This window comes from Homo sapiens, chromosome 5 (genome assembly GCF_000001405.40).
Source record: "Homo sapiens chromosome 5, GRCh38.p14 Primary Assembly".
Classification (NCBI taxonomy): domain Eukaryota; kingdom Metazoa; phylum Chordata; class Mammalia; order Primates; family Hominidae; genus Homo; species Homo sapiens.
In genome coordinates, this window is record NC_000005.10 from 71,559,198 (window position 1) to 71,585,189 (window position 25,992).

General features: G+C 41.2%; 1 protein-coding gene and 1 long non-coding RNA gene across 9 annotated transcripts in view; both read left to right on the forward strand.

Annotated features, from left to right (window-relative positions):
- BDP1 (BDP1 general transcription factor IIIB subunit) overlaps positions 1-19,091 on the forward strand; it is a 122,638-nt gene extending 103,547 nt beyond the window's left edge. For 3 of the 8 annotated variants that reach the window (NM_018429.3, XM_011543511.4, XM_011543512.3), the window contains 3 exons: positions 785-1,040; positions 3,077-3,323; positions 5,557-8,623. In NM_018429.3, coding sequence (NP_060899.2) covers positions 785-1,040; positions 3,077-3,323; positions 5,557-5,688 — 635 coding nt within the window. In that variant the 3' untranslated portion in view covers positions 5,689-8,623. Of the gene's footprint in view, positions 1-784; positions 1,041-3,076; positions 3,324-3,577; positions 8,624-13,116; positions 13,303-16,809 lie in introns of those variants that run through there. The other 5 variants (XM_047417372.1, XM_017009630.2, XM_017009631.2 and 2 more) reach the window with 5 other exon arrangements.
- Positions 20,942-25,057, forward strand: LOC124900999 (uncharacterized). The gene is made up of 4 exons (XR_007058810.1): positions 20,942-21,402; positions 21,761-21,846; positions 23,253-23,376; positions 23,754-25,057. It is a non-coding gene; the product is annotated as an uncharacterized LOC124900999 (long non-coding RNA).

Sequence of the window (25,992 nt, forward strand, 5' to 3'; positions counted from 1 at the left end):
TAGACTTAATTGTCCCAACTTTGACTGTGAAACTGTAATATGGTTACAGTTTACAGCCTCTAGAGATGTTCTAAGATTGCTCCCATCCATCTGCTCTCCAATAAAAGCATTAAGCAAACCACAATACAGTGAAGTGTTAGTGAATTTGTTCTATGCTATCTTTAATTAGGTTGTTTCTTTTAGCAGGTTTACTTATCAACTTCATTCTCCCTTCACAGAGCTAAAACACTCTCTCTGAGAACAAGGCCTTAGCTATACTAAGGGAAAACAGGTTTTTTATTGAGCAAGAAAGCTTTAGTTATTTTGTCCTAATCTTTGGCTACTTTGGCTTTTGTCTACTATTTAGTTAAGGAAAGAGAATTCTTTAGCTAAACTTGAGTATTTGAGAGTCTGTAGGTTTTACTTTTCAGGAGACCACAGGTACTTGAGTTACCACCTATATTTTGGATTGGTTTGGTTTCTAAATTTTAACAAACCTTAGCTTTTTTAGAAAGTAATCACTCTCCCATTTTGATTGCTCAGGAAATATTTCTGGGAAAATATTTTCTAGGCCAAAATATATTGATATAACTATTTTGTTTCTGAATGCAGAAGCTGTTAGCATACCTTATTAACCAATTATAATATTCTTAATAATCCAAGTAACTCCACTAATGATAATTTAGCTTACTCTTATTAGGGTAGGTTTATTATAGAATACCATGGGTTTCTTTTCAAATGCTGGGATTACATGGAGTGTATTAACTTCAGTATCCTTGCTTTCCATTTGCTCTTTTTTTTGAAGGGGAGTCTCACAAGGGACAAGATATTTTTCTTACCTCAGGAAGCACACTGACAACTCCAGAACCTCAAAGACAGCAAGTTGAAGCAGCTTTTCAGAGTAGAGGATCTAGATCTCCTGATGCATGCATGGACAAGAATGTGCCTCAGTTACCTCAGGATGAAATGATTGTGTCTGATAAGGAAGAAAGAACTGATGCTGCTCCTAAGTCTCAGCAAATGGATAGCAGAACATCGTCTTCTAAAGCCTCACTATCCAGGTATCATGAACAAATCTTTAATAAGTGTTTTGCTCTCTGTCTTAATAAATATAACCTATACAGAACAGATTAGATCCAGTACTAAGGATGGTGTTTAATAAACATATTCCTCCATCAGTAATGTAAAGGAAAAAGTTTCAGCCAAGGAAATACAGTAATATTGCAGATACACATTCTGTACAATAAGAGCTTAAGTGCTAAAACTTTTTTAGATAGAAAATCTTTAGAATATTTTGTACACTTATTTTTTTAGATTATCCATGGTTATTTTGATCATTACATAATCTACCATGTTCAGTAGCTACTAATGCACATATGTATGGATGCTGACATCAGAAGTTGTTTTACTGAAGTCCCAAATAATGTGTCATTTTTCTCCCTTGTGACAAACCAAAGAGGTAAACCATGGCTTTCTCCCCATAAGAATAAGTGTTGGAATTTAAGCAAGAGCCAACTTCTCTCACAATTTCCTCATATTCTAGAAGCAATGATTATCAATAATTATTGGCTTGTCAGCAGCATCCAGAAGATTAATGTGGTGTTGCTGAACTGAAAGAGGTGGGGGAACATGCACTAGTCTCCACTAAGGGGAAGGGGTTGGGGAAAGGACACATGTAGCTTAAAAGACATATTTAATAGATCTATTGTTTTTGTTATCTAAATTATAGAAGGTAAAGCTCAGTGGTATCTCTTCTGGCCTTAGATATGTGCTGAAAATAGAATGAGGCCCAGGTACAGTGGCACATGCCTATAATCCCAGCTACTCAGGAGGCTGAGGCCGGAGTTTGAGATTGCAGTGAGCTATGATTGTGCCTGTGAATAGCCACTGCACTCCAGCCTGGGCAACATAGCCAGACCCGTCTCTGAAAAAAGAAAAAAAAAGGCTGGGTGCGGTGGCTCATGCCTGTAATCCCAGCACTTTGGGAGGCTGAGGTGGGTGGATCACCTGAGGTTGGGAGTTCCAGACCAGCCTAACCAACATGGAGAAGCCCCATCTCTACTAAAAATATAAAATTAGCTGGGCATGTTGGCACATGCCTGTAATCCCAGTGACTCAGGAGGCTGAGGCAGGAGAATCGCTTGAACCCAGGAGGCGGAGGGTGCGGTGAGCCGAGATTGTGCCATTGCACTCCAGCCTGGGCAACAAGAGCGAAACTGTCTCAAAAAATAAATTAAAATAAAATAATAACATCATGAGAGTTTGGATTAAAACAGGTTGAGAAGCAGTGTTCTAGAACGGAAGTCAGCATTTTTTGTAAAATGGCATTTGTATATATTTTAGGCTTTGTAAGCCATGTGGTCTCTGTTAACAGCTATTCAGCTCTGCAGTTACAGCACAAAAGCAACCATAGACCATATGTAAACAGATGAACATAGCTGTGTTCCAGTAAAACATACTCACAGAATTGGGTGCGGGGCTGCATGTGGCCTGTAGAGCATACTGTGCTGACCACTGTTCCACAGCTTTGCTACTCAGAGTGTAGTCCTGACAACAGCAGTATGGACATCATTTGAGAACTTGATAAAATGCAGAACTCAGGCCATGCCCGCTACCAACTGTGCGAATCTTCATTTTAATAAGATCCCCAAGTGATTTGAATGCTAGAGATGTTCTAGAGACCGGGGTCCTGCTAATTTTGCCCAGGCTGTTTTTGAGCTCCTGGCCTTAAGTGGTCTTCCCACCTTAGCCTCCCAAAGCAGAAGCAGGTATTAAGGTTGTGTCTTGGCTGGGTGCGGTGGCTCACGCCTGTAATTCCAGCACTTTGGGAGGCTGAGGCAGGCAGATGACGACGTCAGGAGTTCGAGACCAGCCTGACCAACATGGTGAAACCCCGTCTCTACTACAGCTACTTGGGAGGCTGAAGCAGGAGAATCTCTTGAACCTGGGAGGTGGAGGTTGCAGTGAGCCGAGATTGCGCCACTGCACTCCAGCCTGGGTGAGAGTGAGACTGCGTCTCAAAAAAAAAAAAAAAAAAAAAAAAAAAAGAATGTGTCTTCCTGGGTATTCTTGAATATCGTTACATTTGTATTTCTAGACCTGGCAGAAGACCCCTGGGATTTTTATCTTTAATATGCTCAAAGAATAGTTTGGAGTCTGATGAACCTATGCAAGTCCATAGTAAGAAACGCCTAAAACCTCTTATACCTGGATTAAGAAAGAAATTGAAAAGATCTAATCCATTCAATGAAAGCCAGGAAAAAAATCGAGAGTCCTCTGATCTGCTTCCATCTCCAAGTGTTATTACTACTCAATCTGAGAATATTAGCAGCTCAGCAACTCAGGTATGTGATAACTACTGTATTTTATAGTTTGTATGAGATGGGTTGGATATGAGATTCAACTAGGGAAAACATAGTAATTTGTTATTTTTATTTGATGTCAGAAATTATTTTAGAGCAACTCCCATCCTTCTCTCCATCGTGTTCCTCCATAATGGAAGAAGAAAAGGTGTTGAGTCAGGAAGTTACAGTTAGATTAGTACAGAGCCATTGAACTAACCATAAATGGACACTTAATAGCCATTCCTTTAATCTAGAGACCCTTCTGACTTGTGGAAGCAAAAGGAAGCAGTGCTGACACCCACAAGAATTTAAGGAACTGTAAAACTAGAATTTGTTCACATGTTTCATTTCTATGTCTCCTGAAGCTGTCCAATGGCAAGTATTGGGATGGAAAACTCTGTAAACCTGTATCAAAGACTTTGTAAAAATATTGGGGTGACTTAAGATCTTGACAAAGAGAAGGCTGGTGAGCATCTGTTGAACAGCATGAGCCTTTGGAAGGGGTACTTTTGTAAAGAACATCTTTAAACTTTTTAAAAACATTTTGTATTATTTGTTAGAATTATTTTCTGAGATCAAGATATCAGTCTAGCTTATCATTGCCAAAGTCGTGGGTTTTGTTTTTTTTGTGTGTTTGTTTTGAGACAGAGTCTCACTCACTCTGTCACCCAGGCTGTAGTGCAGTGGCGTGATCTTGGTTCACTGCAACCTCCATCCCCTGGGTTCAAGTGATTCTCCTGTCTCAGCTTCTCGATTAGCTGAGCTTACAGATGCATGCCACAACACCCAGCTAATTTTTGTATCTTTAGTAGAGGCGGGATTTCGCCATGTGGGCCATGCTGTTCTCAAATGCCTGGCCTCAAGCCTTGGCCTCCCAAAGTGTTGGAATTACAGGCATGAGCCACTGTGCCTGGCCTGTAGTGTTCTTATTATATTCAGGGAAAAAGGCCCTTTGTGATAAAGATTGCAATTTTTTTTTTCTCTGTATGTCATTTGTCTTTTGATTTTATTTATGGTGGTTTTTGTCAAGCAGACATTTTTTATTTCTGTTTAATTTGTCAATCTTTTATAGCTTTCTGCTTTCAGATAGTTTAAAAAGGTACTCTTCCCAGCTGGGTGCGGTGGCTCACGCCTGTAATCCCAGCACTTTGGGAGGCCAAGGCGGGCAGATCACCTGAGGTGAGGAGTTTGAGACCAGCCTGGCCAACATGGCAAAACCCCATCTCTACCAAAATACAAAATTTAATCAGGCACGGTGGTGTGTGCCTGTAGTCCCAGCTACTTGGGAGGCTGAGATAAGAGAATTGCTTGAACCCGGGAGGTGGAGGTTGCAGTGGGCTGAGATCATGCCATTGCATTCCAGCCTGGCTTTGTCTTAAAATAAATAAATAAATAAAAAGGTACCCTTCCCCACCTACCTCCGTCCAGAATTATAAAAGTGTTTTTCCATGGCATTTTTATAGTAGAGTTTTTTAAAAAATACTTTTACATTTAAATCTTTTGATCCATCTAGAATTTGTTTTGGTAAGGTATTGGTCTGACTTTTTTCCCCCTGAGATGGTTATATAGTTGTCCAACATCATTTATTTAATAATACAATAACTGTTTTTGATATGGCACTTTTATCAGATGCTAAATTTCTATATATATTGGGGTTATTTCTAGTCTTCTGTTTCATTGATATATCTGTCATTCGTGTGCCAATACCATGCTGTCTTAATTTGTTTATAGATTTGTAAGTATGCTAATTTCTGATAAGGTATCTTTGATATGTTTTCTTTAGGTGCTGTTTTGTCATGGGTCTGTCTATTATGCAAATAATTAAAGTATTTTTACTTTATTTAGTGACAGATTTAACCATATTATATTTTTCTTTATTAAAATTTTTCATGGAAATTAGGATGAAGTAATGGATTATGGGTACACTGTAATTTACCTAATTATATCTAGTGTGGTATATTTAGTTGCTTCCTATTTTATTATTATAACTAATGCTACAAAGGTTATCTTAGTCATAAAACTCCTACTATGTTTAGGATTATTTACTTAATGTAACAGCATAGAAGTGAAATTTTTGGGTCAGTGATTGTGAACATATTTAAAGCTCAATATTTATTGCCACGTTGCTTTTCAAACAGATCATATTGGTTTAGACTGCTATATATACACACACATATATATATAAATGTTGTATTACAGTTTTATTTTTACTTTATTTTTATTACCTTTTTAGGTTTCTTGTGATCAGCCCTTACTGAAAGAAGGATATAAAAGTGCCCAAAAGCGGGCCCCTCAAGGGGAGGCAACCACAGTCTCTGAATATTTCTTCAATGATATCTTCATTGAAGTGGATGAAACAGAATAAAACAATCTTTTCTCTTTTTCTTTTTTAAATTAGGTCTAGGATTTCCAGAGTCAATTACATCAACAAAACAGTATTTAGAGCAAAATATCACTGTCTTATTTTTCTTTAGGTTGATTTTGAATACTTAATGAGCTTGATTTGAAGCTTTTATAATCAGTGGAAAACATTTCTGAGGTTCCTTTCATTCTGACTGATTCAGCATTTTGCAAATAGCAAGCAATTAAGACTGCTTTCTCAGACAGAAATAACAACTCTTGTTTACATTTTGACTCTTCCTGTGCTAAGCACACATGGACATTTGGGAATGTTGTGGATATATGTCTCTGTATGAATTGCAGTGCAGACAGATTTGGGGGTTAATTGTATCATATTTAACATTTAGCAACTTCTTTTGTGAAGATTTTTTATTTTTAGGGGGAGATGATGAAGGATGAAGGCTTTTTCATTTGCTTCTAAGTACAGTCATGTATCACATAATGAAGTTTAAGTCAATGATGGACCACATATATTACAGTGGTCCCATGCAATTAAAATGGAGATAAATTCCTATCAACTAGTGACATTATAGCCATCATAACACAGTGCATTGCTTTTTTATGTTTAGATATGTTTAGATACACAAATACTTACTATTGTGTTACAACTGCCTACAGTATTCAGCATAGTAACACATTGTAGAGGTTTGTAGCCGAGGAGCAATAGGCTATACCACATAGCCTCAGTCTGTACGGTGTGTAGCAGCCTGTACCATCTCAGTGTTTGTAAGTACACTCTGCGTTGTTTCACACAAGATCACCTAACAAGGCAATTCTTAGAACATGTAGTTAAGGGACACGTGACTATATGTGAAAACAAATTGTCAAACTTCACTTTAGTATGGCAAATGTTAAAGAACTTTTCTATTATCAGCTGTTTGTCTGACTGAAAAATACATATTTTTCTAATTCATGGTGATGTAACATTAGTCCTAATTGAAAAACTAGTATTTAAACATAATTATTTATAAAGATGACACATCAAAGGGCTTATTTATTTTTAAATTTTTTATTTAAAAGGATATTCAGTTTTAGCTATTTTTACCCCTCAGATTGTAGATAAAGAAGGCATTAAATTTATGTTTGTCTCCTTTTTCTGTTTAATTTTAAAGATATTTAAAATGATATAACTAAAAATGTTTAGCTGGTGTATATGTTTTGAATACCTTTTTCCCCTCAGTTTAGTATATTGACTTTGTACTGTAAATTTTTCTGCTTTTCTTGGATAATCTCAGGATTTTCATGAGGATAGGGGGAACTCAACTTTATTTATGAGACAAAATTTCCATACAAAGCTCAATCTCCTTTATACACCCACAGACATAATATTAGTTTTTAAAAAGCCAATTTCTTCATAGTTTTTTCCCATTAAATTCTCAAGGAACACTTGGATCTTTAAGCACGGAACATAATCATGATGTTAAAAACAGAGAAAATAAGGCTTTATAAAGTTAATGATTATCATCAGTATGAATTTAAGGTTTGTTTTAATTTCAAGATTTGATTTTTTATACGTGTAATTCTATTATCTACCCAAGCAGATCTGTAGTGGTTCCAATTAGACTTCTCAAACAGCAAATTTATCCTGATTTTATTTGAAAAGCCTCTTGGATTGATAGTATAGTAGCTCAGGCATTGGAAACTTTCTGCAAACTGTTTTGGGTTTGCAGGCCAGATGGTCTCTGTGGCAGCTACTCAGCTCTGCAATTTCAGTGTGAAAGAAGCCATAGACAGTACTTGAATGAAGGACTGTGGCTGGATTGGCCTTTTAGTTTGACCCCCTACATTAGGCCCCAAATTTTCTTACCCTGAGGTGCTGATATCTGTATGGATGAGTTATTTGTCACTAAAGTTATGAGTTGTGCCTAAAAGTTAAAACTGTTGACTGTATTATGTAATGATCAGTATTTCAGTTGGGAAGATATTTTAGAGTCTAGATAATTATGTTTGTATATTGAAAAAATGGTGGCCAGTTTTTAAGTTCCTTAATAGAAGAGAATTATGTCTCAGCACATATAACAGTAATGCTAATTTATTGAAACTACTGCTGTTAGAGCACTTCTTATTCATTGTCTTTTAGTGAAATTTATGGCGTAACACTTTGTCAGAGAGGAGGCTATATAATTCGGAGCGGAAATTGTCTATAAGTAGGCATTTATTTCATGATTGATATGTCACAGAAATCATGGTAGTAAATCACATTGCTATTTGAATACCCTGTTTTTGTAAGTTTTTAAAACTCATATTCTGAAAAGATTTCATTCTCTTAGTGTTAGCTTGGGAGTTAGATTGCCATGATTAAACTATTATTTATCCTTGTGTAATATTAGTTTTTAACTTTAACATCTGTTTCTTTTTAATCTATAATGAGCTAGTTTTATGGAAAATGGAATTTCTTACTATATAAAGAATACAGAGACTCATTGTATTAGAGAATCAAGTCAGCCAGCTAAAGTATCCTACTGTTAAATCCTTAAACCTAATTTTGGAAAAGAGAAAGTTAATCAATGTATTTACCTTACATGTTGGAAAGAACTATGTTAGGTCTGATTCATGTGAAGAAGATGTTGCAAAGGATTTATTTCACAAATTTTAAAGGAGATATGAGTAAAAGTTTTTATCTTTTCTTGACTTTTTCTCCTGAACACTTATGTCTTAGCAAGTGGTCAACATGAGGATTTGAACGCCTAATTGTTGGTAAATGGTTGAGGCATGACAAAAATATTAATATCCACTGTTTACCATCATGTTATTTGAAACAAAAGTGACCATGTATACTATCTTGCTTGAAGAAGTCTTTGACAGAAAAAGCAATATCATGTCATTTATAAATTTTCTTGTTCTAAAGAAAGCAGTTATATATATATATAAATTATGTAAATAAAAGTTATTTTATATCATTTCTGTTGTGTCCTTTTAAGATGACTAAATAAAGAATTGGCTGGGTATCGTGGCTTACACCTGTAATCCCAGCACTTTCGGAGGCCGAGGTGGGAGGATTGCTTGAGCCCAGGAGTTCAAGACCAGCCTGGGCAACATAATGAGACCTCATCTCTACAAAAAAATTAAAAATCAGCCAACTGTGGTGGTGTGTGCTTTTGGTCCCAGTTACTCAGGAGGCTGGGATGAGAGGTTCGCTTGAGCCCAGGAGGAGGTTGAGGCTGCAGTGAGCTGTGATTGCCCCACCACACTCCAGCCTGGATGACAGAAGAAGACCCTGTCTTTGTGGGGAGGAGACAAATTTTTGACAGGTGTGCATGTCGTTATTTCAAAGCTGTAGGAGTCTGCAATGTGATTGTCCTAATAGTATTTGGAAGAGACTCCACACAGCATCTCTGTTTGCTGCAGCATCGCATCCTGAATCTGCTGGAGAGCCCTGTCTTACATTGGGTTTCACTAAAAATCGGCAGTCTTACGGGCTACCCAGTAAGTAGGTTGGGGTAGTATTCCCAAATATATTTTATCTCAAACTCAAAGGGCGACTTCAAACATTGTTGCTTCTGTCTTCATGGTGACCAGTGCAAGGTGCAGAATCTTGTCTCCCTCTCCCCACTGCCTTTGTTTAAGAGATGGGGTTTCGCTTTGTTGCCCAGGCTGGAGTGTGGTGGCGTGATCATAGCTCACTGCAGCCTCGAACTTCTGGGTGCGAGCAATCCTCCCAGGTAGGTGAGCCGTCATGCCTGGGTAGCTTGTTTCTTCCCTTCAAAAATAGATCCCATGTCCTCAGACCACTAGACCCTTAGGAGATTCACCTATGTGGCAGGCTCCTGAACTTTAACAGTATTTACCTCCCAACCTCTTATATATGTATGTCTTCCTAAGACATCTAGCTGCTTGCTAATTCGTGCTTTCCAGCTCCAGTTAGCATAATGTTATACATGTCACATTTCATTTTTTTGTCAAAAATCAAGAAAATAAAAGTCTCTCCAGACTATATAATGAAAGAAAATGAGGGTATTCATATCACTCTGAAGTAAGACAGTAAAATCAGTTGTCCCTGCCACAATAATTCAAGTTCTTTTAATTTTTCTTACTGGAATGGAAAATGTTGCATTTTTTTCATGGCACTAGCTTTATTCCAGGTATTAGGAGTTGTGTTGATTTGGTCTAATAAAGGTACCAATCGCCAACTGCAGCTGTGATTGACATCATTTGTTAAATCTGTGATAACTTATTGTCATTCCCCAAGACCAGTGGTTCCCAAACTTTATTGCACATCAGACTCACCTGGGAAGCTTTAAAAAGTTTCTGTGTCCAAGTGGTATCCCTTATTGTTAAATCAGTGTCTGGGTGCAGTGGCTCATGCCTGTAATCCCAGCATTTTGGGAGGCTGAGGCGAGACATAGCGAGACCTTATCTCTACAAACAAAACAAAGCAAAAACTAGCAGAACATGGTGGTGTGTGCCTGTGGTCCCAGCTACTTGAGAGGCTGAGGCAGGAAGATTGCTTGAGCCCAGGAGTTCAGGGTTGCAGTGAGGTATGATCGTGCCAGCCTGGGTCACAGAGTGAGACCCTGTTGCTAAAAAACATTAAAAAATAATAGGGCCAGGCACAGTGGCTCACGCCTGTAATCCTAGCACTTTGGGAGGCCGAGATGGGAGGATCGCTTGAGCCCAGGAGTTTGAGACTAGCCTGGGCAACATGGCAAAACCCCTTGTCTACTAAAATGCAAAAATTAGCCAGGTGTGCTAGCACGCGCCTGTGGTCCCAGCTACTGGAGAGGCTGAGGTGGGAGGATCACTTGAGCCCAGAGGTGGAGGTTGCAGTACGCTGATATTGTGCCACTGTACTCCAGCGTGGGTGAAAGAGGGAGACCCTGTCTCAAAATAATTAGAAAACACACACACTCGCAGTGCCTGGGGGTGGGCGTCAGACATCTCCATTTAAAAAAAAAATCTGCAGGTGATCCTAAGGTGTAACACCAACACCAACACACAAAACAAAAAAATGTGAAACATTGTTCATTCGGACCTGTCTGACTTGAACAGCTGGCCAAGCTGGTGAATCAAATGGAAATGTAGTAGGAATCAACAGATCCCACTCACTATGTGGGTCAGAGAATGGGGGTGGTTTAAACCTTCTACTTGGCCTTTCCTTAATGCCTTATCTCATGGGTTAAGGAAACTGTGTGATGATTCTGCTATATCCTACTTCTGTGTATTCTGGGACTGAGGAAATAATTACAGGATGGGCTCCTGTGAGAAGTCAGACCAAGAATCCATCTTTCACGCAACCTCCATTAGCCTTCACTCTGAAAACTGGATCACAGAGGCTTTTAAGGTCTCTGGAAATCAGTATAATTTCAGAGTCACTATCTTAATAACCGTGAAATAGCTGAGTATTTTTGTTTCCCCAGTGCAAAGACCCTGATGAATAACCATAGTTCTCTCTGCAGAAGGCTTGGGGGAAGATTTATGGTATACCCATGAAGCCACAATTACAAAATCCTTCCTCAGAGGCTCCCATCTGCCCCCTCAGTCAAGGGACTTTGGGTCTATAACCTGATTTATTTAGTCTGGAAACTGGATATGAGGCTCTCTCCACTATGGAGACTTGAGTTTGGTTCTTGCACAACAGACCTAGAATTGTTTTGTCTATAGGTGTCATGCAACACTTTAGAAGGCTGTCAGTCTAACAGGAACCTTGGGATCAATTAGCCATCATCACAGATCCCCACATGTAAAAATACACTATGTCAATCCTTTGCTATGGCTTATTACAGTAATTGTGCCTACCTGGTCTAAAACAGTTCGGCATTGCTGCCTGGCTTCTTCCAGTATTCCCAATGAGGTCAAGGGGCCTAATTCCTTGGCAGTACCTCTCACCATCATCTCCAGTCTGCAAAGGACAACCATCATAGTGGCTGCATCAGCTCTTTAAAGAGGCTGATGCTTCTGTTACCAAGACTTTAAAGAAAAGAGTGTCCTCCAGGCCCTCTTGGGAGTTATGGTTAGGGGGTGTCTGAATAAGATGCACATAAATACAGCCAGTCCCCCTTTATCAGCAGGTTCCATATCCTGAGATTGAGCCCATCAAGGATCAGAAATATTTGAAAAATAAAACATAAAAATAACAATACAACTATAACAAATAATACAAATAAAAAATAAGTATGACAACTATTTATATAGCATTCATATTGTATTAAGTATTATGAGTAACCTAGAGATGATTTAAAGTATATAGAAGAATAGTGCTATGTTATATGCAAATACTATCCCATTTTATTTTATTACTTTTTGAGACAAAGTCTGGCCCTGTTACCTAGGCTGGAGGGCAGTGGCACGATCTCAGCTCACTGCAGCTTCCACATCCTGGGCTCAAGGGATCCTCCCGCCTTTGCCTCCCAAGTAGCTGGGACTATAGGTGCATGCCACCGTGCCTGGCTAATACTTATATTTTTTGTAAAGATGGGTTTTTGCCATATTGCCCAGCTGGTTTTGAATTCCTGAGCTCAAGTGAACCAACCACCCGCCTCGGCCTCCCAAAGTTCTGGGGTTACAGGCCTGTGCCACCGCACCTGGCCCCTGGAACCAGTTTTTCTCAGATACCCAGGGACAACTGTGAATCCATTCCAACATCCTCATTTTCCTGAGTCTTCAGATGGCTTCCTGTACATGGCTTCCTCTGTATAGTAGTGAGCATCAGAATCACCTTGGAGGGCTTATTAAACACGGATTGCTGGGCCCCAATCCTGAAGTTTATTTTAATTAATTATTTATTTATTTTTGAGATGGAGTTTTGCTCTTGTTGCCCAGGCTGGAGGCAATGGCAAGATCTCAACTCACTCCAACCTCCACCTCCTAGGTTCAAGAAATTCTCCTGCCTCAGCCTCCCGAGTAGCTGGAACTACAGGCATGCCCCACTATTTTGTATTTTTAGTAGAGGTGGGGTTTCACCATGTCGGCCAGGTTGGTCTCGAACTCCTGACCTCAGCAGGTCCACCTGCCTCACCCTCCCAAAATGCTGGGAATATGTTGGGAGCCGAAAAGGCCAAAGGGATTGTGACCAACTCAGCATTCCACTGGAGGCTACATGATCAAAGAGCAAACTGTTTATCATGAATACAGAATGTGGGCAAACTCACTTCTGTGCCTGCCCCAGAAAGTTTGCTGAGGGCCATCGCTCCCTGGCCCCGGCTCCTTGAGGTTATCTACTGGGACGTCTAGAGCCTATTGTTCGAGGAATGCAGTCTTGCAAGCCTACTCTGGACTGAGCAGCTGACCTCTTCTTCCACACCCCTTCTCACTATCTCTTTTGCCTAATAAATACAGAGGGCTGTGTAAAGCTCAGGGCCCTTGTTCACTAGAGACAAGGTGTCCCCTGACCCTTCTTCCAAACATATTCTTTTGTCTCTTGTCTTTATTCCCGCATTCATCCCCCTTTGTTCAGTCCACCAGGGATCCTGGCAGGCTGCAAGTGGTGCCTCGAACAGCAACAGAATCTGGTGCTTTACAAGTGGCGTCCAAACACAGGGGCTTCGAGGATGTGAATGAAGAATGTCTGCTAGAGCAGAGGAACTGAAATTGACAAGGCGAATGGGGACCCCGGGATGAGTCTGCTGGCAGCGGATATAAGGTCAGTGCCCTAAAAAGGTACTAGGAGCAGTGCTTTAAAGAAGTACTGGGAATGGGAAGTTTTCTGAATCAGGGTAACATGGAGCAGAATTTGTCTATTGAAGGAAAACATTATGTGCAGTTGCTTAAAGTTTCGTTGAAACAAACTGGTGCTCGGGTTCTCAGACATTCATTAAGATGCTACAGGAGGTTATTACGCATAACCCATGGTTTCCACGGCTTATTAAAACTCTTGATGTGGAAGATTGGGACAGAGCAGGAGAACGATTAAAACAGCCTCATGAAAAAAGGTCTTAAAGTTGATTCTTCTGTTTTTTCCACTTGGAGTTTAATTTGTACTGTACTTCTACCATTAGCTCCTTATTATTCTGTGGGACAGCAGGCTGAGTCTAAAAATCTGAAAGAATCTGTTGTCCCACCCACAGCTCCAGCTGAAAATAAAAAACAGGGCCAGGCATGGTGGCTCACGCCTGTAATCCCAGCACTTTGAGAGGCCAAGGCGGGTGGATCATTTGAGGTTAGGAGTTCAAAACCAGCCTGGGCAACATGGTGAAACCCTGTCTCTACTAAAAATACAAAAATTAGCCGGGCGTGGTGGCATGTGCCTGTAGTCCCAGCTACTCAGGAGGCGGAGGCAGGAGAATGCTTGAACCCGGGAGGCAGAGGTTGCAGTGAGTCAAGATCGTGCCACCGCACTCCAGCCTGGGTGACAGAACGAGACTCTGTTTCAAAAAAAAAAAAAAGAAAGAAAAGAAAAGAAAAAACAGGAGAGGGAGGATGAAAATTGGCCTATACCACCTGCTCCAGTTGCAGAACCATCTGCACCACCTCCTTAGGTAGCAGAAATAGAGACCCCAATACAAATAATTTTACGCTCTGCTGCCATAGCTGGAGAGTCCTTAGGACCTTGTGCTTTTCCTATTTCCATAAGACCTGATCCAAATAATGCACAGCAGCTCATTCATGAACACACTCGACTAGAGTTTAAGTTGTTGAAGGAATTAAAAGTGAGTGTGGTAAGTAAGGGCGTACAGAGCCCATTCACCTTAGGATTACTAGAATCTGTGTTTGGTGCTATGCGTCTTTTACCCTTTGATGTAAAACAATTGGCGTGAACTTGCTTGTCTGCTAGTGCATATCTGACGTGGAATTTAAATTGGCAAGAACTGTGTGCAGACCAGGCTAGACAGAACCGTGTTGCTGGACCCGGAGACATTACAGAGGATTTGCTATTGGGTAAAGGCCCTTATTCAGACCTGGAATGTCAAATGGCACTCCCAGATACTGCTTATCAGCAGTGTGTACAGGCCACTAAACGTTCCTGGGCCACAATTCCTGAAGAGGGAGTCCCAGTACAGTCCTTTTCACATATCATGCAAGGGTTGCAGGAACCCTATGTACAATTTCTTGCAAGATTGCAAGAGGCAGTGAAGCGTCAGATTCCTCATACCGTGGCTGCAGAAATGCTAACTTTAACTCTAGCTTTTGAGAATGTAAATGCGGATTGTAAATGTGCCCTGGCACCAGTGAGGTGTACAAAAACTTGGGAAATTTCCTCAGAGCTTGTCAAGATGTAGGAACTGAGCTTCATCGATCTACAATGTCAGTGCAAGCAATGGCTAATTTAGCTGTTGACAAATCTAAAAGGAGCCAAGGGTCAGACCCTAAAATGGGAAAATATTATAATTGTGGAAAAACTGGACATTTAAAAAAGGAATGCCGCCAGATCTCAGGACAGAAAGGATCTTACAATGCAGTTCCTCCCCCAGCAGAAAAAAATGCCAGGACTTTGTCCTCGCTGTAACAAAGGAAATCACTGGGCTAATCAGTGCCGCTCAAAATTTCATCAGAATGGCACCCCCCTGTCAGGAAACGAGACGGGGCCTGGCCCTGGGCCTCTCAAACAATGAGGGCATTCCCAGTTCAGACCACAACCCCATTTCAGGGATGGGTTCCCGGAGGCACATTGGTTCCTTCACCCCAGGAACACCAGGAAATATAGGATTAGATCTACCCGCTAGAGAAAGAATCATGTTAGTTGGGGGAGACAAACCCATCAAAGTTCCCACTGGTATTTGTGGTCCTTTACCCACAGGATACATGGGACTAATTTTAGGCAAAAGCTGTCTTAACTTACAGGGCATTACTGTAGTCCCAGGAGTGATTGACTCTGATTATGAAGGAGAAATTCAAGTAGTTTTAATGTCACAAGATCTTTGGGTTTTTGAACTGGGAGAATATATTGCTCAATTATTGCTTATTCCCTGCAAATTACACCCTTCTCCACGAAAGGAGAAATGAGGAAATAAAGGGTTTGGGAGCACAACTACATGGGAAGTCTGTCCCAACCAGTAGCCTCTAATAGACCCACCTGTGTAATACAAATTAAAGGAAAGAAATTTTATGGGCTTATGGATATGGGAGCTGATGTGTCAGTAATATCTAAAGACAATTGGCCCCCATCCTGGCCCTTGCAATTAACTTCTGCATACTTACTGGGAGTAGAAACAGCTCAAAGTGTTCAACAAAGTGCTGAGATTTTACCTTGTCTTGGTCCGGATGGACAGTCTTGTACTTTTCAGCCTTATGTCGCAAATACAGCTATCAATTTATGGGGTCGAGACTTACAGCATGGGATATGAAACTTACAAATGAAAACTTTGATAACCCAGGATTTAAAATGTTGAAGAACATGGGATATCACAGTGGAAAAGGTCTGGGGAGGTTCCTACAATGAAACCCTAATCCAATATCAATAACTGGAAAAACAAATAGAAAAGGGCTAGGACCTCAGGATTTCTGATGGAGGTCATTGATATTTCTTCTCCACGCTCTGCCTTACCATTAGAATGGCTCAGTGACAAACCCATATGGGTGGATCAATGGCCGCTATCTTGGGAGAAGCTGACGCAACTTCAGCAGCTAGTAAAAGAACAATTGGATGCAGGACACATAGAGGAGTCAGTTAGCCCCTGGAATTCTCCAGTGTTTGTTATTCCAAAAAAGTCCAGAAGTTGGTGACTGCTGCATGATTTAAGAGCTAGTAATGCAAAAATTCAACTGATGGGCACCTTACAGAAAGGTTTACCATCTCCAGCGGCTATTCCAAGAGACTGGCCTCTTGTAGTAATAGATCTTAAGGACTGTTTCTTTACTATACCCATACATGAGAAGGATAAGCCTCAATTTGCCTTCTCTGTGCCTTCTATTAATCAAAGAGAACCTGTTTCTCATTATCAATGGAGAGTTTTACCCCAAGGCATGCTTAACAGTCCTACGCTATGTCAGCATTTTGTAGGACAGGCATTAAAGGAGCCTCGGAATATGTTTCCTACTGCTTACATCATTCATTTTATGGCTGATACTCTTTTGGCCGCTCCTACAGATCAAATATTGCATCAATTATTCAGAGAAGTAAAGTAAGCTCTTGTTAATTGGAATCTCAACATTGCTCCAGAGAAGGTACAAACAACTTCCCCATACCAATACTTAGGAACTATTGTTACAGAGAGAAGATCGACCAGAGTCACGACGACATCAACCCCCATAACCTGGGACAACTCAAGAAAACTACGCAGGAAGCTGAGAAACTACTGGAGTGTCAAGGCCAGACAAAAACCCCTGATTCCGTGTTCTTGGCCATGTTAGCCATAATATCCTGTGCAGTATGTTTTTCCTGTGCAGAGGCAAAAACATATTGGGCATATGTTCCCAAGTCCCCAGCAGTATGACCCATACTTTGGAGTGACACTCCTCCTAAGATTTATCATGATTAAGGAGCATGGGCTCCAGGACCCCTAACTCCACCTGACATAGAACAGTTAGACTCTCAGAATAATGTCATTAATTATACCGCTCCATTGGAAGGACTTCCTTTGTGTGTCACCACAAAGACATCACTCAGCCATAGCTGTCTTACAGTTCAAGCTCACACATGGTTGAGTCACTATGGGAAAATCATGTACTTATTAAGTCTTGGTTATATTAATGTAACCGGTGTGCTAACCAACCATTCCTGGCCCAATCGCCTTCATTGTGCTGACTATACAGAATGGATTCCCTTCAATAGTTCCTACCCCCCTCCATAGACCCAGTGTCTTGGCCCACTGGCTAGAAAACAATCTATGTTAACTGGAGACATTGTGGATTGGGGACCTAAAGGCCAATTAGATGGAAAAGAAGAAAATCAGAAATCGTGGCACAAACTTTGCTGGCATTGGTGGCAAGCTTTTAATGCTTCTTCTTTATATAACACTGGGATCCAATCCCAGTCGGCCGCCCAGATTGCTTGGCATGGAGCAGGCTTTAGCCCGCCTCTTCCTCAGTGGCATTATCTAGGGAGGAAAGGACCAATTCAAAAGATGATATGGAAGGCAGCATTCCCATTTATGAATGGCAACATCTGGGTTGCCATAATACTATCCAATAATAGCAATAGTAAGCAACACAGTCTTAATGTTACATTTGTAAAGAATATCACCACTCAATTTACAGTTTGTGTTTTTAATCCTTATGTGTTTTTGGCAGCTAAGAAGGACCAGCTCCAGGTAAACAATACCCAATTGACCTGTAAATCTTGCCAGTTATATCACTGCATTAATCATAGCACATTGCAAACACATAATATCTCTACTTTGATGATTTTAGGTTGCATCCCTGGGCTATGGATTCCTGTTAATCTGTCTGAGCCATGGGCTGCCACAATTGCTTTACATTTTGTGAAACTTCTTCTAACTCAGTTTACTCATTGTGTCCGTAGAGGCTTAGGCATGATAATTTTTGCTATTGTTTACTTGGTCACACTAATAATTTCTGTTGTGATGTCCTCTGTAGCTTTGCATAGTTCTATTCAAACAGCTCAGTATGTGGAGAACTGGACACGCACAGTCAACCAAGGGTGGCTACTTGAGAATAAAATTAACACTGAGTTACAAACTGAAGTGGCAGTGTTATAATCCACGATTCTATGGTTAGGGGAACAAGTACAAAGCTTGCAATTGCAGCAGTAATTGTGTTGTCATTTTAATCACACTCATATTTGTGTAACCAACTTAGAATATAACCAAAGTGAGTATCCATGGGATCTTGTGAAAGCCCATTTGCAGGGAGCTTTCACATCCGACATCACCTTTGATATTGGTGAATTACAAAACAAAATTCTTGATTTAAATAAACAAATTCCAGAGTTTCAGCCTTCTTTAGAAGACTGGACTGAATTCCAGCAAGGCCTGGAGAGCGTCAACCCTTGGACCTATCTAAAGCACCACATTAACATCTTATATATAGTTCTTGGAATAATGTTGTTTTGTCTCTGTCTTCTGTTCATAGTCTGTAAAATCGGATGGACTGCCAATCGGAGAATGAAAGCTACCCAGCCTGGCCTTACATTCTTTCACTTAATACATAAACAAGAAGGGGGAAATGTTGGGAGCCAAAAAGGCCAAAGGGATGGTGACCAACTCAGCATTCCACTGGAGGCTACATGATCAAACAGCAAACTGTTTATCATGAATACAGAATGTGGGCAAACTCGCTTCTGTGCCTGCCCAGAAGGTTTGCTGAGGGCCATCGCTCCCTGGCCCCGGCTCCTTGAGGTTATCTACTGGGACATCTAGAGCCTATTGTTCGAGGAATGCAGTCTTGCAAGCCTACTCTGGACCGAGCAGCTGACCTCTTCTTCCACACCCCTTCTCACTATCTCTTTTGCCTAATAAATATGGAGGGCTGTGTAAAGCTCAGGGCCCTTGTCCACTAGAGGCAAGGTGTCCCCTGACCCTTCTTCCAAACATACTCTTTTGTCTCTTGTCTTTATTCCCGCATTCATCCCCCTTTGTTCAGTCCACCATGGATCCTGGCAGACTACAAGTGGCGCCTCGAACAGCGACAGAATTAGGTGCTCTACAGGATTACAGGCATGAGCCACCACTATGGGCCCCAATCCTGAAGTTTATGATTCAGCAGATCAGCCTGGGGCCTAAGAATGAGCATTTCTAACAAGTTCCTGGGTGAGGCTGATGCCACTGGCCTGTGAGCACGATTTGAGAATCACTGTTTTATAGCAGATTCTCAAACTTGGCTGCCTACTGGAATCACCTGAGATGTTTAAAAGAATACTCATTCCTAGGTTCCAACATCAGAAATGATCATTTAACTGGTATGGAGTGCTTGGCTTGGGATTCCTTTAAATAGCTTTATTGGCTATATTTGACACACAAACTGCATATATTTAGAATACAATTAAATTTTAATATATGTGTACACCCATAAACCATCACCACAATAATAATAATATATCCATCATTTCCAAAGTTGCCTCTTCTACCCTGGCCTCCTGCTCCTCCCTCTCTCCTGAACACCTCCCAGATCCCAAGGTAACAATCTGCTTTTGGTCACGATGGATAGCCTGCATTTTCTAGAATTTTATATAAATGAAATCATATATACCCTTTTTCCTTTTTGGTTTCACTTCTTCCCTTTAGCATGATTTTTTGTTTGTTTGTTTGTTTTTGAGACACAGTTTCACTCTTTTTGCCCCGGCTGGAGTGCAGTGGTGCAATATTGGCTCACTGCAGCCTCTGCCTCCTGAGTTCAAGTGATTCTCCTGCCTCAGCCTCCCAAGTAGCTGGGATCACAGGCGCCCGCCATCACGCCCGGCTAATTTTTGTATTTTTAGTAGAGACGGGGTTTTGCCATGTTGGCCAGGCTGTTCTCGAACTCCTGATCTCAGGTGATCCATCTGCCTCGGCCTCCCAAAGTGTTGGGATTACAGGCGTGAGCCACCGCATCCAGCCTTAGCATGATTATTTTGAGATTCATCTACCTTGTTGAATATATTAATAATTTATTCTTTTTTAAAAATATGGTTTAATCTTTATATTTTGTATGGCTTTTCTCATAAAGTGGATATATTGTATTTTTTAAAGGTTAGCCATATAGCATAAGTATATACCAAGTACTCCTTATTTCTAGTCTCTTTGTTTCTTTCCCAATCTCCTCTTCTCCTCTCAACATGTTTCAATTTGACTATAATTCTTTTTTTTTTTTTTTTTTTTTTTTTTTGGAGATGGAGTCTCACTATTTGCCCAGGCTGGCCTCAAACCCTTGGGCTCAAGTGATCCTCTCACTTTGGCCTCCCAAGTAGCTGGGACAATAGGCACAAGCCACTGCACATAGCTTCTTTGAAATAATTTTAGACTCACATAGAAGTTGCAAAAATAATACAAAAAGTTCCCCTTGTATCCTTCACTTTTCCCCCATGATTATGTAAGTGTAAATAAAAATCTAAAAACAATTAAAAATTGAATTTTCCTAGAAAAGAAAGAATCCCCCAGTCTGTCTTCAGAGCGTTTACTTTAGAAAACTTGTAATTGTGAATTCCTTCTCTGCCCTTTGAAGATGTATTTACATCTTCTTTTATGAGGCTCGCTCTTTCGCCAGCCTAGAGTGCAATGGCACAATCTCGGCTCACTGCAACCTCCGACTCCCTGGTTCAAGCTATTCTCCTGTCTCAGCCTCCCAAGTAGCTGAGATTACAGGCACGGGCCACCATGCCCAGCTAATTTTTGTATTTTTAGTAGAGACGGGGTTTCACCATGTTGGCCAGGATGGTCTCAATCTCCTGAGCTCGTGATCCGCCTGCCTCCACCTCCCAAAGTGCTGGGATTACAGGTGTGAGCCACCATGCCCGGCCTACATCTTTTTTTAAATAAGCTTAATAACCCATGAGAAAGGTGTTAGTTTAAAAAAAAAAAGATAAATAAATCTCTTGTCAGTTTTTTTTTTCCCCAACCCCATAATCTTATCCTTAAGGACCTGGAAGCCTTCTCTTTGAAATGAAATCATCGAGGGAAATAGCATTCCTATTTCCTAGTCCTATGGAAGGGTAGGAACCTAACTTCAGCTGGCACCTGTTAAGTTACAAACCTACCATAAAGACATAAGAAATTTAATTTTCCTTTGGATAAAGACAATTAACAAACACAGGTGACTACTCCGATTCGCAGGTGACAGGTGGTGCTGTGAAGTCATCTTATTTGAGGACTAGTTGTTTATCTTGAAAACATGTATGACATGGGTTGCATCTGCCTGGTTATATAAAGGGGTGAGTGTTTTTTATTTTTTTGAGACAGAGTCTCACTCCGTCACCCAAGCTGGAGTGCAGTAGCGCAATCTCGGCTCACTGCAACCTCTGCCTTCCAGGGGTGAGGGTTAGGTTGTCTTTGCAATCTCTTTAGCAGATTGCCTGTAATGCACATCACATTCTGGTTTGATAGGTTTTCAAATACTAAAATTGTTTTTTTCTCTTCTACTTTAATGGAGAGGTTTTTTGTTGTGGCAGGAATTTTTGTCTTAAATTATATTTCCCCAAGAACATCTTATATAATCCTAGTACAATGATGAAAACCAGGAAATTGACATGTGCGCAATACTATTAACTAAAGATTTTATTCAAATTACAGCCAATTCTCAATATCCTCAAGGATTGGTTCCACAACTCTCCTCCTCCACCAAAACCCCAGGATGCTCAAGTCCTTTATATAAAATGGTATGAGCATATGTCTTATGCACGTCCTCCCATGTACTTTAAATTTTCTCTGGATTATTTCTAATAACTAATACAAATGCGAATGCTATGCAAATAGTCATTATACTGCATTTTAAATTTGTATTTTTTTATTGTATTGTTGCGTGGTTTTTTTTTTTTTAAGACAGGGTCTCAACTATTGCCCAGGCTGCAGTACAGTGGTGAGATCGTAGCTCACTATGGCCTCGACCTCCCATGGCTTAGGTGATCCTCCTGCCTCAGCCCCCGAGTAGCTAGAATTACAGGCTCCACCACTCCCAGCTAATTTTTGTATTTTTAATAGAGATGGGTTTTTCGCCATGTTGCCCAGGCTGGTCTCAGACTCCTAGGCTCAAGTGATCCGCCCACCTTGGCCTTCCAAAGTGCTGGGATTATAGGTGTGAGCCACTGCGCCTGGCCTGTATTGTTATTTTTTTATTGTCTCTTCCCACCCAATATTTTCCATCTGTGGTTGGTTGAATTTGCCGATGTGAGATCTGGGGATACAGAAAGCTGGCTACATATCATGCTTACAGGCAGTGCATGTGTATATACAATTCCATGAAATTTTATCCCATGTATAGGTTTATGTAACATCACCACAGTCAGGGTACAGAGCTGTTCCATCACCCCGAAAGTCACTCTCATGCTGTCAATTATAGTCATTCCCTCCTCCAGCTCTAACCCTTGACAACCACTTATCTGTTCTCCACTACAACTTTTTTTTTTTTTTTTTGGTCACCTAGGCTGGAGTGCACAGCTCATGGCAGCCTTGACCTCCCATGCTCAAGCAATCCTCCCATCTCAGCCTCCCAAGCAGCTGGGACCACAGGTGCATGCCACCACGCTCAGCTGTTTTTTTGAAAAAAGTTTCTGTAGAGACTGGGTTTTGCTATGTTGCCCAGGTTAGTCTCCAACTCCTGGGCTCAGGCGATCCCCCACCCCTGCCTTGGCCTCCCAGAGCGCTGAGATTACAGGCATGAGCCACCATGCTGGGCCCACAACTTTTCATTTCATTAAAATGGGATCATACAGTATGTAACTGTGCAATAAAGGGTTAATTCAGCAGGTTTGGGTTGTACACATTCCAAAGAAGGAACTGACACTTGACCAGTTCCTTAACCTATAAGCCCTTGAAATAAATGTCCTGCCTTTTAAGAGTTTTTGTATACCTGGGGCCTTCAGCCATGACAGATAGTTTATGCTAATTTTATGCTGATTTAAAACTGTATCCTTTCACTGTAATAAGCCATAACTGAACATAGCTTTTCTGAGTTCTGTGAGTCTTTCTAGTTAATCATTAAGCTTAAAAGTGGTCTTGGATAACCTTTAGAGATTGTGCTTTACATAAAATCTAACTTTTTTTGTTTTTGTTTTTGTTTTTTAAGAGTTGGGGCCTCGTTCTGTTGCCCAGGCTGGAGTGCAGTGGTGCAATCATAGCTCACTGCAGCCTTGACTTCCTAGGCTCAAGTGATCCTCCCACCTTGGCTTCCGAAGTAGCTGGAACTACAGGTACGCGCCACTATACCAGGCTAATTTTTTAAGAGTGGGGCCTTGCTGTGTTGCCCAGGCTGGTCTTGAACTCCTGGGCTGAAGGGCCTCAGCCTCCCAAGTAGCTGGGATTGTAGGTGTGAGCTACCGTGCCCTACATCATTTTTATTGCAGGCAGTATTGTGTCATATGGATTTACCATAATTTGCTTATTCATTCATCTGTTAATGGACATTTGGGTTGTTTAGAGATTTTGTGTATTACAAATAAAGCTGTTATAAATATTTTTGTTCAAGTTTTTGTATGCACACGTAATTTTATTTACCTTGAGTAGATTCTTATAATAGTGAAAAGTAAAAAAGCCTTTATCACAGCTTGGAGTCTATTATCTTCTGTAGATGCAGGGCAGTTTGGCCGAGAATCAAGCCAGGATTTGACAAGAAGGGAGTTGAAGGGTCAATGAAAGGTACAGTATGATATAAGGACACTACACAGGAAGGAATGGAAAGCTGAGAAATAGGATGGACACATTTGGGCAGATGTGGTCAAGACCCAGACTCTCAAATGCCCAAATCCCCTTGAGCTTTTCTCAGAGTGGAGGCAACCTACCCTCATATCCACTCCCCATTCCTGACCAGCCTTTCCCTGTGTAAAAGGCACTTAGTCGCTTCATCTGGGGCAGTTGCCTTATGAGCTGATGCTAGTTCTTGTAAGGGACTGATCCTACCCTGCCTCCTTGCCTCTGGATCTTAACAGAAGTTAGTTATTCCAGTGCAAACCAAAAAGTACTGAACGTGGCCCAGAAAGAGATAGTTTCTTGCCAGTGTGTATTGGCAAGAGTTAGGGAATATGGAAATGGATTGTTACGCCAAGGAAAACAAATATAAGGTTGGATTGGGATAAATGTATAAACATGAGTGCATGTGCTGGCATGTCAGTCATGTTTTCCAAAGATAGTCACACAATGTCTCTCATCTTTTCTGCCAGTGGCCTTGACACTCCTTCCATTGAGTGGTGGGGTCTATGTCCCCTCCCCTTGAATCCAATAGAGTACAACCAAAGTAATACCATGTGATATCCCAGGTAAGGTCATTAAGTTTCTACAGAAGAGACTTGATAGCAAAGGAGAGCCTGCCAGGTCTAACTGCTCATCCTGACCTCCCAGCTTCTTGCCTGGCCTTTAAATAACCCTCCCTTAGGTGTCCTGGAATGTCTCCTTGCTCTGATTCCAGAGCAGTTATTTTTTATGTATTCATTCAACAAATTTAGCGTCTGTAATATGCCCAGCATAGGCCATAAATGATGACACTGACAAGACCCCAAGTTGGAGAAACTAAATGAGCCCTAACAACAAGTGCTGACCCGAGCCACAATAGAGGCCTGTTGAAGGGAGAAAGAGGTAATGAGGTGGGGTCAGGGAGGGCTTCTGGAGTAGGAGATTCCTGAGCCAAGTCCTAAAGGATGTGTATGGGCTCACCAGGTGGAGAAGATGGAACGGACAAGTCTGGTCGTGGAAAGATGCCCTGGGCAGAGGGAACGGTGCGGATAAAGGAAGGAGAGCAAGTGGAAGATGGCAGCCAATGGGAATGAGCAATGCATGGGAAGGAACTGAGGGTGAGATGAAAGGCAGCGCACCAGGCTGCAGAGATCAGCCCTGGCGGTTACATTTTTCAATTAATTCTCTTATTTTTATTATATAAAACATTATTTTGGCCAGGCGCGGTGGCTCACGCCTGTAATCCCAGCACTTTGGGAGGCCGAGGTGGGTGGATCACGAGGTCAGGAGATCGAGACCATCCTGGCTAACACGGTGAAACCCGGTTTCTACTAAAAATATGAAAAATTAGCCAGGTGTGGTGGCGGGCACCTGTAGTCCCAGCTACTCGGGAGGCTGAGGCAGGAGAATGGCATGAACCCGGGAGGCGGAGCTTGCAGTGAGCCGAGATCGTGCCACTGCACTCCAGCCTGGGCGACAGAGCGAGACTCCCTCTCAGAAAAATAAATAAATAAATAAATAAAATAAAAACATTATTTTACTTTATTTTTATTTTATTTTTATTGTTTTTTTTAGAGACAGGGTCTAGCTCTTGTCACTCAGGCTGAAGTGCTTGGCAAGATCATGGCCCACTGCAGCCTCAAACTCCTGGACTCAAGTGATTCTCTCACCTCACCCTCCAAGTAGCTAGGACTACAAGCACATGCCACTGTGCATGGCTATTTTTATTTTTCAGAGACATGGGCTCACTATGTTGCCTAGGCTAGTTTCAAGTTCCTGGCCTCAATAAAACATTATTTTAAAAAATCAGAGATGGCAAAGATTATGTTCCTTGTAATCTCAATAGTGGGGTAGAGAGACACTGGACACTAACAGATGCTAGGTGACTGCTTTTGGCCTTCTGTGCATTTGCACTTCACCTTTTGCATTTTTCTACTTAGCTGTTCTGGGAACATTATACATTTCCAAAGAGCTTCTTGTAACAAAAGTTACAAGAAATAAGAAACATGTATGACTTTTTTTTTTTTTTTTTTTGAGACAGAGTCTTGCTCTGTCACCCAGGCTGGAGTGCAGTGGTGCCATGTCGGCTCACTGCAGACTCTGCCTCTCGGGTTCCAGCGATTCTCCTGCCTCAGCCTCCC